This window comes from Homo sapiens, chromosome 8 (assembly GCF_000001405.40).
Source record: "Homo sapiens chromosome 8, GRCh38.p14 Primary Assembly".
NCBI lineage: Eukaryota > Metazoa > Chordata > Mammalia > Primates > Hominidae > Homo > Homo sapiens.
In genome coordinates, this window is record NC_000008.11 from 64120336 (window position 1) to 64133705 (window position 13370).

Consider the following 13370-nt stretch of genomic DNA (forward strand, 5'->3'; position numbering starts at 1 on the left):
AGAAAATATTTGAAAGCTATGCATCTGACAAAGAAATAGTATCCAGAATCTACAAGGAACTCAAACAAATCAGCAAGAAAAAAACAAATAATCTTATCAAAAAAGTGGGCAAAGACATGAATAGACATTTTTTAATTGAATATATGCAAACAACCAACAAACATATGATAAAATGCTCAACATCACTAATCATCAGGGAAATGAAAATCAAAACCACACTGAGATATCACCTTACTCCTACAAGAATGGCCATTATTAAAAAGTCAAAAAACAATAGATGTTGGCATGGATGTCATGGAAAGTGAACACTTTTACATTGCTGGTGGGAATGTAAATTAGTACCACTTTTATGGGAAACAGTATGGAAATGTCTTAAAGAATTAAAGGCATAGCTACCTATCTAGCAATCCCACTACTGGGTATTTGCCTAAAGAAAAATAAGTCATTATATGAAAAAGACACACACACACACACACACACACACACACACACACACACACACACACACACACACATGTTTATAGCAGCAAAATTCCCAATTGCAAAGATATAGAACCAATCTAAGGGTCTATCAACCCATGAGTGGATAAAAAATGTAGTATATATACACTGTGGAATACTACTCAGCCATAAAAATGAATGAAATAATGTATTTTGCAGCAACTTGGATAGTGAAATAACTCAGCAATGGAAAACCAAATACCATATGTTCTCACTTACAAGTGAGAGCTAAGATATGAGGACACAAAGACATACAGAGTGATATGATGAACTTTGGAAACTCAGAAGAAGGAAAGTGGGAGAAGGGTAAGGGATAAAAAAAACTCCATATTTGGTACAATGTTGTATTGGTATGTTCTCATGTTGCTAATAAAGATATACCCATGTATTAGTCAGGGTTCTCTAGAGGAACAGAACTAACGGAATAGATATTTATATAAAAGGGAGTTGTTTAAGTATTAACTCACATAATCACAAGGTCCCACAATAGGCCATCTGCAGGCTGAGGAACAAGGAGAGCCAGTCCATGTTCCAAAACTGAAGAACTTGGAATCCAGCGTTCAAGGACAGGAAGTATCCACCACGGGAGAAAGAAGTAGGCTGGGAGGCTAGGACAGTCTCACCTCTTCATGTTTTTCTGCCTGCTTTATATTTGCTGGCAGATGATTAGATGGTGCCCACCAAGATTAAGGGTGGGTCTGCCCTCCTTAACCCACTGACTCAAATGTTAATCTCCTTTGGCAACACCCTCACAGACACACTCAGGATCAATAGTTTTGCATCCTTCAATCCAATCAAGTAGATACTCAGTATTAACCATCACAAGTCCACCCTTTGTCAACTCGAACCCATACATATCTCCTGAGATCACACATGATCTTCAAATAAAGACAATGATAAAGTCATAATTATGCCTAACATAACACAACTATCCTTCGTACAACCAGAAATGCACCAATCCCCAAAGCAAATACTATTACATAAAGTTAACAATACTTAAGTGTTGATGTGAAGTCAATAAATCTTATGTCACATGATAAAAGAAAAAGAAAATAAAATGAAGATATTTACTTAGTACAAGGGTATACACGCACAAACATGTTTGTAACAAAAAAAAAGGAGGAAATACGAACAATTACAGTCCTCATTTCTGCAGTTGGTCACTTGGTCATAACTGGTAATAATAACTACCTTCTTCTACCACCCATTTTGTGTTCCGTTTGCCTTCAGTGAGCAACTAAGCAGGTCATGGTTTTTTTCCTGGTGGAGTGACCCAAACCTTCATACCTGAAGGGTCTTGGTCATTTATAGTCTTGTCTGGATTGGGCTGTTGTAGTTTCCCATTGACCTTAATAACAGGGCATGGTAATACTAAGAGAAGCCCTAATGGATCTCCCGTATTGAATGCATACTCTTCCTTCCCTCCATTGTGGAGTAGTAGACTGATTTCATCTTAACAGTTCAGGCCAATCACCCCCACCAACACTAACTCTCTTCTTAGCCTGTTGACTTAAAATTAGAAGGTGCCCAAAGTGTCCAGGTGGCAATCTTAACTTCCAGTTTAATGAAATTGTTGTGTCTCCTGGTGGTAGCATTCCTCCCTCTGGAACTAAGACCCCTAGACCAGCAGAACGTAATGTTGCGGGAACAGGAAACAAAAATTTTGCTAGTGGATAACTAGGAGTGATGAAGAGTGGTGCCTCTTCCACTGCCACCCCTTGATTCCTGGATCCATGAATCCTGGCTATGGGAGAAACAGTACCATATGTTGAACACTGATTCACAGAACACATGGCCTTCTGGAGGACTTTGCCCCAGGCATGCAAAGTATTGTCACCTAGTTGGTGCAGTAATTGTGACTTCAAAAGGCCATTCCACTGTTCTATCAATCCAGCTGCTTCAGGATAACAGGGAACATGGTAAGATCAGCAGTTTCCATGAGCATGATCCTACTGCTGCACTAGTTTAACCATAAAGTGAGAGCCTTGGTCAAAGGCAATGCTGTGTGGAACACCATGATGGTGGAAAGGCATTCCATGAGTCCACGGATGGTAGTCTTGACAGAAGCATTGCATGCAGGACAGGCAAACTCATATCTGGAGTAAGCATCTATTCCAGTGAGGACAAACCTCTGCCCTTTCCATGATGGAAAAGGTCCAATATAATCAACCTGCCACCACATAGCTGGCTGATCACCCCGAGGAATGGTGCCATATTGAGGGCTCAGTGTTGGTCTCTGCTGCTGCCAAATTGGGCACTCAGCACTGGCCATAGCCAGGTCAGCCTTAGTGAGTGGAAGTCCAAGTTGCTGAGTCCACGCATAACCTCCATCCCTGTCACCATGGCCACTTTCTTCATGGGCCCATTGGGCAGTGACAGGGGAGGCTGGGGAAAGAGGCTGAGTGGTGTCCACAGAACGGGTCATCCTACCCACTTGATTATTAAAATCCTCCTCTGCTGAGGTCACCTGTTGGTGAGCACTCACATGGGATACCAATATCTTCACAGTTTTTGATCATTCAGAGAGGTCCATCCACATACCTCTTCCCCGAATTTCTTTGTCACTAATTTTCCAATCATGCTTCTTGCAAGTCCCTGACCATCCAGCCAAACCACTGGCTACAGCCCATGAATCAGTGTATAATTGCACATCTAGTCATCTCTCCTTCCATGCAAAGTGCACAACCAGGTACACTGCTCGAATTTCTGCCCACTGGGAAGATTTCCCTTCACCACTGTCCTTCAGGGATGTCCTAGAAAAAGGCTGCAGTGCTACACCTGTTCACTTTCAGGTGGTGCCTGCATATCGTGCAGAACCGTGTGTAAACCAGCCCCTAGTCTTCTCTTCCTCTGTCAACTTATCATAAGGAATGTCCTATAAGGCCATTGGTGCAGGCTGGGGAAGAGAAGGCAGGGTAGCAGGAGTGGAGACCATGGCCATTTGAGCCACTTCCTCATGTAACTTACTTGTGCCATCAGGACCCATTCGATCCTGGTTAATGAATACACCACTTCCATTTGATGATGGAATGCTGCTGTGCATGACCCACTTTATGGCTAGATCGGTTAGAAAGCAGCCAGTTCATGATACGCAGTTCAGGTCACATGGTGACTTGATGACCCATAGTCAAAAGTTCAGTTTCCACCAAGCCCCGTAACAAGCCAAGAGCTGTCTCCCAAAAGGAGAGTAGTTATCTGCAGAAGATGGCAGGGGCTTGCTCCAAAATCCTAGAGACCTCCACTGTGATTCTCCTATGGAGGCCTGCCAAAGGCTCCAAACAGTATACCTATCTGCCACTGACACCTCAAGCACCATTGGATCTGCTGCATCATATGGCCAAAGTGGCAGAGCAGCTTGCACAGCACTGTGGACCTGTTGCAGACCCTTCTTCTGCTCTGGACTCCACTCAAAACTGGCAGCCTTTTTGGGTCACTCAATAAATGGGCTGCAGTAACACACCCAAATGAGGAATGTGTTGCCTCCAAAATCCAAATAGGCCCACTAGGCATTGTGCCTCTTTCTTGGTTGTAGGAAGGGCCAAGTGCAGCAACTTACCCTCCATCTCAGAAGGAATATCTCTACAGGCTCCATGCCACTGGACCACTAGAAATTTTACTGAGGTAGAAGGTCCCTGAAGTTTAGTTGGCATGCTAATGTCTCACCAGTAAGTCCAGTGTGTTTGCTACTTCTTGCTCACTGGATCCAATCAGCATAAAGTCATAAATGTAATGGACCAGTGTAATATCTTGTGGAAGTCAAAAGCAATCAAGGTCTCTCTGAATAAGATTATGACACAAAGCTGTAGAGTTGATAAACCCTTGAGGTAGGACAGTAAAGGTATATTCCTGGCCTTGCCAGCTGAAGGCGAATTGCTTCTGGTGGGCATTATGGACAGAAATGGAGAAAAAGGCATTTGTCAAATCCATGGCTACATACCAGGTACCAGGAGATTTATTAATTTGCTCAAGCAATGAAACCACATCTGGTACAGCAGCTGCAATTGGAGCCACCACTTGGTTAAGCTTACAGTAATCCACTGTCATTCTCCAAGATCCATCTGTCTTCTGCACAAGCCAAATGGGAGAGTTGGAAGGGGGATGTGGTGGGAATCACCACCCCCACATCTTTCAAGTCCTTGATGGTGGCACTAATCTCCACAATCCCTCCAGGGATGCAATGCTAGTTTTGATTTACTATTTTTCTAGATAGAGCCAGCTCTGATGGCTTCCATTTGGCCTTTCCCACCATAATATCCCTCATCCTACCAGTCAGTGAGCCAATGTGGGGATTCTGCCAGCTATTAAATATGTCTATGCCAATTATGCATTTTGACACTAGAAAAATGACCACAGGATTAGTCCAGGGACCCACTGGGTCTACTGTAAGTCAGACCTGAGGTAAAGCTCCATTAATTACCTGACCTCCATAGCCCCTACTTTAACTGGAGGACCACAATGACATTTTGGGTCCCCTAGAATCAACATCAGCTCAGAACCAATGTCCAGTAGTCCTCGAAATGTCTGATCATTTCCTTTTCCTCAATGCACAGTCACCCTGGTAAAAGGCTGGAGGTCTTCTTGAAGAAGGATGGGAGAAAGATTCATTGCATAAATTGTCAGTAATGTAGTGGGGTCCTTCCTCAAGGGGACCTGGCTTCCCCTTCATTCAAGGGGTTCTGAGTCTGTAAATCGGCTCAAGTCTGGAAATTGATTGTGGGATAATCCAAATTCGTGTTTTGTCCATTCAACCTAGAAGTTTTCTGCTTATATAAATTAAGTGGGAATGCAGTAGGTTTCTTATCAATTCCACTTCTAGGAACACCATGATTAATTAGCCAATGCCAGAGCTCTACATGAGTCAGACTATTCTGATTACCACTTTGACTCTGCTGTCCATTATGGTAGCTATGCCCACCTTGCCTTTGATGGTTGAGTGCCATAACTTGGCCCCTGCCACCTCAGGATCCAATTATTCCCATTGTATTTAAATTTTATAGTTGAGTGACTGTGGTGCCCACTGTTAGATCTGACATGAAGGGAAGAGCAATTACAGGGCTCTTCAAAGATGTCGGTGCTGCCCTCACAAATCTATTTTGCATGGCATTGGTCAAGTGTATATTTTCTGGACCCTCCCAGCTGGGATAAGTAGGTCTAAAGTGACTAATCCACTCCACCTTCCCAATCTCCCTAAGCCTTTGGATCCCTTCCTCTCCACCAAACCAAGGGAGATCAGGCATTGCTAGCTCTCTCACAGTGGGCCAGCTTTTAATCCATATTTCAGCTAACCAAGCAAATAAACTATTAGAAACTTCTTTAACTCCCTGAGCTGCAACATTAAATGCAGAGTCCCTACTTAGTGGGCCCAAATAAAAAAAAATCAGCCTTTTCCAAATCTATGTTCCTTCCACCATTATCACACACCCTTAATATTTATTCACATGCTTGTTCTCCAGATTTCTGTTTCTATAAACTAGAAAACTCAAGCAGTTCTTTTTGAGTATAGCACACCTTTTCATGGGTCACACTCTCAACCTCACCTCTAGGGGTCCACAGGGACTTTAGTCTAGCTATAGGTCTAGAAGCAAACAGGGCTGTTGGGGGTGGCTCCTGAGGAGAATCAACATTATCTTGCCTGGCCACTGCCTCAGAGGAGGCCATCACTGTTGCCTCAGGCAGCGCAGGGTTTATCTCCTCAGACAAAGGTGGAAAGGCTGATGGCAGCATGGATCTGGAAGGGAATGTTGCCACTACTGGGGATAGGAAAGCTGTTTTTTTTGGCAAACAAGGTTCATCAGTTTACAAACTCAATGCCCCCAGCTTTGTCAGGGTGCTCCCACATATCCCCATTCTAAGTTGCAGGGTCCATTCTTTTCGAACCAATGCCCTCACTTCAACAGTAGACACCTGGCAGAACTGTGATGCACATTTCATTGCAGGTCAGTCACTTGCATGATAAGAGCTTGTGTCTGTTTTTTCACAATTTCAGCTCTTTTTCTACAGGAGTTAAGACTCACTCAGGGCAATCTTAGCAGATTTCAGGCTTGGTATCTGCTTCTGAAGCTGGGAAATAGAATCCCTGAGTTTATCATTTTATTTCATCCCTCTTTCCACTGAACTTAGGAGCAATCAATCAGCTTCATTATGTTTCTTGGTTCTCCAAATATGGCCAAAGGTATTATGTATAAAGTCACTAAACTCCTTGCCTCTCATGAGCAAAGAATCAGGAGTGTCAAATGCATTTATTTTGTATAACTCTCTAAATAATTCATGCCAAGGATTATCAGTGTTCTCCATACTAGTAGAAGTACAGTCTTTAGTATTTTGGGGTCTAATCATATTAAGCAGCCAACTCCAGAAACCCCAAAACCAATTAAAGAACTCAATTCTTAATATTCTGTTCCTCTAGAACCACTCCTGGTACCAAAGTCTGTGTTAGTCAGGGTTCTCTAGAGGGAAAAAACCTATGGGATATATTTTTTTACTTAACACTTAATAAACTCATATATACATATACATACAGATATATATACACACACACATATATACACACACACACACACACATATATATATACACACACACACACACACACACACACATATGGTATTAACTCACACAATCACAAGGTCCCACAATAGGCCTTCTGCAGGCTGAGGAGCAAAGAGAGCCAGTCCAAATTCCAAAACTGAAGAACTTGGAGTCTGATGATGGAGGGCGGGAAGCATCCAGCATGAGAGAAAGATGTAGGCTGTGAGTGTAGGCCAATTCATGTTTTCCTGCCTGCTTTATATTTGCTGGCAGATGATAAGATGGTGCCTACCTGGGTTAAAGGTGGAATTGCCTTCCCCAGCCCACTGACTCAAATGTTAATCTCCTTTGGCAACACCCTCACAGGCACACCCAGGATCAATACTTTTGCATCTTTCAATCCAATCAAGTTGACGCTCAGTATTAACCATCACAACCCAAGACTGGGTAATTTATAAAGGAAAGAGGTTTAATTGATTCACAGTTCTGCGTGGCTGGGGAGGCCTCACAATCACGGTGGAAAGCAAATGACGAGTAAAGTCATGTCTTACACAGTGGCAGGCAAGAGAGCCTGTGCAGGGGAACTCCCATTTATAAAACCATCAGATCTCATGAGACTTATTTACTACCACAAGAACAGTATGGGGAAACCACTACCATGATTCAATTATCTCCACCTGGCTCCACCCTTGACATGTGGGGATTATTACAATTCAAGGTGAGATTTGGGTGGAGACACAGTCAAACCATGTCAAATGTACACTACTTGCATGGCAGGTGCACTAAAATCTCAGAATTCACCACTATAGAATTCATCCATGTAACTGAAAACCACTTGTACCGCCAAAGCTATTAAAATAACAAAAATAAATATTTTTTTAAATGAGAAAAAGACTTGAACAGGTATTTCTCCAAAGAAGATACACAAATGGAAAATAAGCATAGGAAAGGATATTTAACATCATTGTCATTAGGGAAATTCATATCAAAACCACAATGTGATACCATTGCATTAGGATGGCTGTTTAAAAAAAAATCAATCAACATGAAAAAACAGAAAATAATAAGTATTGATGAGAATGTGAAGAAAAGGGAACCCTCAAACACTGTTAGTGGGAATTTGAAATGTGACACTTACTTTGGAAAACAGTTTAGCGATTCCTCATAAAGTTAAACATGGAATTACAATATGACTCGGAAATTTTACCTCTAGGTATATACCCAAGATAAATAAAAATATATGTCCCCACAAAAACTTGCACAGAACTATTCTAGCAACATTATTCATTATAGTTGACAAACAAAACAACACAAATGTTTATCAACTGATTAAGGAATAAACAAAATATGATTATTGATAAAATGGAATATTATTCAACGACAAAAATGAAGTAATGATACAAGCCAAAATGTGTATCAACCTTGAAAGTTTCTTAAGTGAAAGAAATCAGATACAAAAGGCCACACATTTTGTAATCTCATATTTATAAAATGCCCCAAATAGACAAATCCACAAAAACAGAAATAATATGCGTGTTTTCCAGAGGCTGGAGGAAGAGGGAACAGGAGCGATGGCTTAGTGAGTACAGAAATTCTTTTTGGAATGACAAAACTATTCTAGAATTAGATAATAGTGATAGTTGCATAACATTGTGAATGTCTTAAAAGCCACTGAATTGTACACTTTAAAAGAGTTAAAATTGTATATTTTATGTATATAAATTTTACTCCAAAAAAATGTTTAAAAAGGGAGAAACTACTAGAAAAATATCTACCAAATTAACTGTTTTATGTAAATGAACTGCAGGTGTAAAAAAGGTGAAAGTATAGTTTTCTTGTGCTTAGAATATATTTTGTGTTACAGTTAGATTATATCATAAATGTACCCTATATAAATCAAGTTTCAACATACACATGGAACATAAATGATAAGGGGCAATGTTTTGTGAATTTGTTTTTGCTTATCGATGAGAATCCATACTTCAAGGGAAAAGAAAGAAGTTTATGATGGGTCAATGCCTATTTCATGGACTGTAATATGAAGAATACTGAATTTCAATCCTAGTTCTTGTCAACAGTGTGGCAGAACACAAATAAATGAAAGACTCTGGCCTTTTGCTAGTCCGAGTGTGGTCCATGGGAAAGCAGGAGCATCAAGCACCCCCTGGGAGACTCTTGGGCCTACTGAATCTAAATCCTCATTTTAACAAGATCTCCAGGCAATTCACCTGCACATAAAACTTTGAGGAACACTACTGCTCTGTGTCAATGTTCCCCATTGTTAAAGTGAAAAAGCTAGGCTTTAAACCCAACTTTTTAATTTTAATGTTAGTATTTTTCTATTACATCTAATATGCTCTCTTTACAGGCTAACATGAGACAGCCTACCCAGATGCCTTTTCCTCATTCACCAGCTTGCTCAAACACAGTTTTGCAGAAGAAGGTAATGCCTAAGTAATAGGAAATTCCTATTCATAATAAATTACCATTTAGTTCTAAATAGTGTCTACCTATGTGCTAGATGTATGTTTTCAACCAGATGAAATTAGAATTCAAAAGAAAGCTTTCATCTTACACTAAAGCTTGTTTACTTTCCTGGATGTGTGCATTTAGATGTGTCATCAATTTGTTACTAATTCCTCTATATCTGCTCCAGCTATCTTTATCTCTTCTATAATCTCTCTCTAGTTAAGAAATATTCATTAAAATAACACATAAAATTTCTTCTCTGTTTCTTATGAATTTTGTCATCGTAGACGACAACTGAATCACATCCAAACTCGTTTCTGTCTTAGACATTATCTCAGAAAGTACTATTCACCTTTTTTTCATTTTTCTGAGTTTTTATATATCTTTTCCTTTTTGTTGCACAAAATACTATAGTTTCAGTGTACTTTTTGATATTTTTAAAAGCTTAAACTTAAGATTTATAAAATACATCTTTGTGTATTTTCTTCAGGAAATAGCAATCTTTTACTTTTGCAAAGCACTTTAGAGCCAACAAAGAGTTATCATACAATGTACTATTTAAGATTCAAAACAAACTTGTGAAATAGGTAGAAAAGGCATTTGACTTCAATAACAACTCAGAAGCCAAGATGCAGTATCAGAGAAAGGGACAAATCCAGGCTGGGTGCAGTGGCTCACGCCTGTAATCCCAGCACTTTGGGAGGTCGAGGCAGGAGGATCACTTAAGGTCAGGAGTTAAGAGACCAGCCTGGCCAACATGGTGAAACCCTGTCTCTACTAAAAACATGAAAATTAGCCAGGCATGGTGGTGGGCGCATGTAATCCCAGCTACTCGGGAGGCTGAGGCACAAGAATCGCTTGAACCCAGGAAGCAGAGGTTGCAGTGAGCCAAGATCGTGCCACTGCACTCCAGCCTGGGTGACAGAGTGAGACTCCATCTCAACACACACACACACACACACACACACACACACACAAAAGGGACAAATCCAGATCATTAGCCATATAAAGAGAAACACAGCCAGCTGTCACAAGCTTTGTAAACTCTACCCAATAGTACCAATTAAGGAGAGAGCCATAGGGCTATTAATAATTTTATTTAAAAAAAATTTAAACTCAGTGAAAAGTATTCAAACATAAAGTGTTGGAAACTACACAGAGAACTCAAGATAAAACCGTTGCTTGAAAAATGAAAAATCAAAATGTCAAAGAGAACATACATAGCAAATAATAAAAGCAATGCTAACACAAAACATATATCTTCCGGGGTAACTGAGGATTTGTCCCAAGATGAAGGAACCACAAATCAATAAAAATTCCATGACACTCAACAAAGCAGTACATTTTCACAAAGGGATGACTTTATAAAAACCTTGCAAAATGATGCGAAAGGATCTAAAAGTCAGAAGCTAGATAAAAGCACCAGAAAAAAAGGAAAGAAGCTCAAACACTCTGAACTAATAGCTCAATTTATGCCCTTCAAAACAACCCCTAACAACTGGGAAGTGTCAGTACTGTAGACTTAAAGCATTCAATAGATACTCCTAGACTAAGTCATATTCTAATTATGACCAGCAATTGGAAGGAGGAAGAGAAAAAAGAAAGAAGGGAGAAAGGAAAGAAGGAGAAAAGGAAAACCAAAGGAGAAAGGGAGGAAGAGGAGGTAATCTACGACAAAAATGGGAACAAAGTTTAACAATTAGGAAAGCAAATGGTACCAAACCAATTTTCCTTGAAAATAAATGAGGTAAAAGTAGATCACAAAAGTAAGGATGTGTGTGAGGAAAAGACTGGGAACATCAAGGGTCTTCATAATGACACTGAAACAAGAAATGGCTCTTAGCAAGAGAGTATCTAAACACCATTTCAGTCCCATAGCGTCCTGTTGTGACCACTTAAAGAGTGCATCATAAGAAATGCTTTCAGCAGTGGAGATGGTTCTTAGCTTTGTGGGAGTCAATCACAGGTACTCCTTGGGAACCCCTCCATTATCAAAATAATTCCAGGCTGAGGGTCTTTACAGTGGCCATTATGATATACCACTGGCATGCTGAGATAGTTAGGATGTGTTCACAACATGAACAGTTGCCTAAGAGCTAGTACACTTAAGTTCAATTCAAGCAAACCTTGGTAAGATATTTTTTAAAGTTTCAACATTCAACTAAGACTCTAAAACAACTTCTACAAGAAGTCTATCATGTGTAGAAGAATCAATTTTGATTTTGACATATCAAAAATACTCTCATTTTAAGTAAAGCTAAGTAAGTAATATGTTGTGACCAGAACTTCACAAGCCAAAAAAACAAAAACAAACAAGAACCCCTACAAACGTGAACTGAAGGAATCAATCAAATACATAATGTAGCTTTTCTATTTTTCCTTCAATTTTCCAGCTTTCTTTGGTCATGAAAGCGACTCAGGGCAATAACCATGCTAACTTACTTTGATAAAAATATCCACAATCTAGTTCTTCAAGAAAATTTACACAGTTTATATAATGAGAAATTATTCTATTTAGAAACAGAGCTTCCATAACATTATAACAATAAATAAAATTGTAACTTTTTAGAATCTGGTTTAAAATAAACTCAAATTCATTATTATGAAGATATTAAAAAGTTAGATTTTACCAGGTGAAGTTTCAATGATAATTTTGTCCTCAGATTCTCAAGAGTTATCTGAGCACCATTTCTTTCTCTGAGAAACATTCATATTTATACCTAAAACTAGCTTCCTCATCACATAAATCTTATGAATTTTTTATGTGGACCCAAATAAAGTACCTCAATAGCCAGTACTTCTATTAATGATTACAGCTATTGATAGCTTAGTTTTGTTTTGTCATTGTTCTTGTTTTTCATAAATAAGTGTGGAGGATCCAGTTTTGGATCCAATTTTGTGCTTGACTCCAAACATGGAGTTATGTTGTAGTTCTCAACCCTGCTACACACTAAAGTCACCTGGAAATTCTGATTATAACTGGTTTTCAGTAAAATCTGAGCATGAATAATTATTGAATTTCTTCCAATGATTTTAAATTGCATCTAGGATTGAGAAGGCTAGATCTCAGTTCCCTTTTACCCCATAAAAATAATAATCAAATAGAATATTTCAGAATTCAAAAATTAGAAGTCAGGTCACTTTTTCTAATTTGTTATTGACTCAAGTCACTAAAAAGCAGACACTTAAAAAGAAGCATACCATTGTAAAAAGAGAATTATTTATATATATTATTCTAAACTTCACAGTATGTAAAACAACTCTTGGTAAATTCAGAATCAATTGGTGTGATCTTATGTGTACATACTCTGATCCCAGCTAGTTCTTAGCAAAATTTTCGAACAGATAGTGAATCTTCGGTGCCCTACTCTTCCCTTTCTTCACATTCCATTCCGATTACCTCTCAAGTCTCATTACTATAGGCTTACCACACAAGCCTTCTCCAGAGAACTAAGGTCGTAGGAAAATATTCCAGGAGAAAGCACAAATGACTTTTTCTTTGGAGCAAAACTGTTATTGTCTTAATGCACCCCTGACAACATGAGGATAATAATGTAAACAAATAAAAGTATAATTAACAAAAAAAAAATACTAGATAAAATAATTCATCTTACTTTTCAATGTTGATGCATATTTTTCTTGTGATGCCACATTCATTAAACTCCTTGAGGATGGTCTTGGCTACAAAAGAAAAAAAAATCTCATTAGTTTTTAAATAAGGCAATGAAACATAGTGTTTAAAATTTGGCCATGCCATTTTGTGACCCTGGGAAAGATAACTTTTCTAAGTCTCAACTGTATAATGGTAAAATAATGAAATATGAACATTAAACAGAATAAGGTATGAAGTAGAGGTGGCATATAGAAACCAT

The 13370-nt window shown here is 39.1% G+C and overlaps 1 long non-coding RNA gene across 1 annotated transcript in view, besides 1 other annotated feature; it reads right to left on the reverse strand.

The window, feature by feature from the left end:
- LINC01414 (long intergenic non-protein coding RNA 1414) overlaps window positions 1-13370 on the reverse strand; it is a 511616-nt gene that overhangs the window by 263393 nt on the left and 234853 nt on the right. The window contains exon 4 of the long non-coding RNA NR_125826.1: window positions 13113-13179. This is a non-coding gene — a long non-coding RNA (long intergenic non-protein coding RNA 1414). The remainder of the gene's footprint in view (window positions 1-13112; window positions 13180-13370) is intronic.
- Window positions 4449-4641: a silencer, noted in NCBI's record as "fragment chr8:65037341-65037533 (GRCh37/hg19 assembly coordinates)". NCBI's record gives its function as "represses an EF-1alpha promoter that drives an FKBP-Casp9 reporter gene in an ReSE screen in HepG2 liver carcinoma cells {active_cell/tissue: HepG2}" and the evidence as "EXISTENCE:reporter gene assay evidence [ECO:0000049][PMID:32094911]".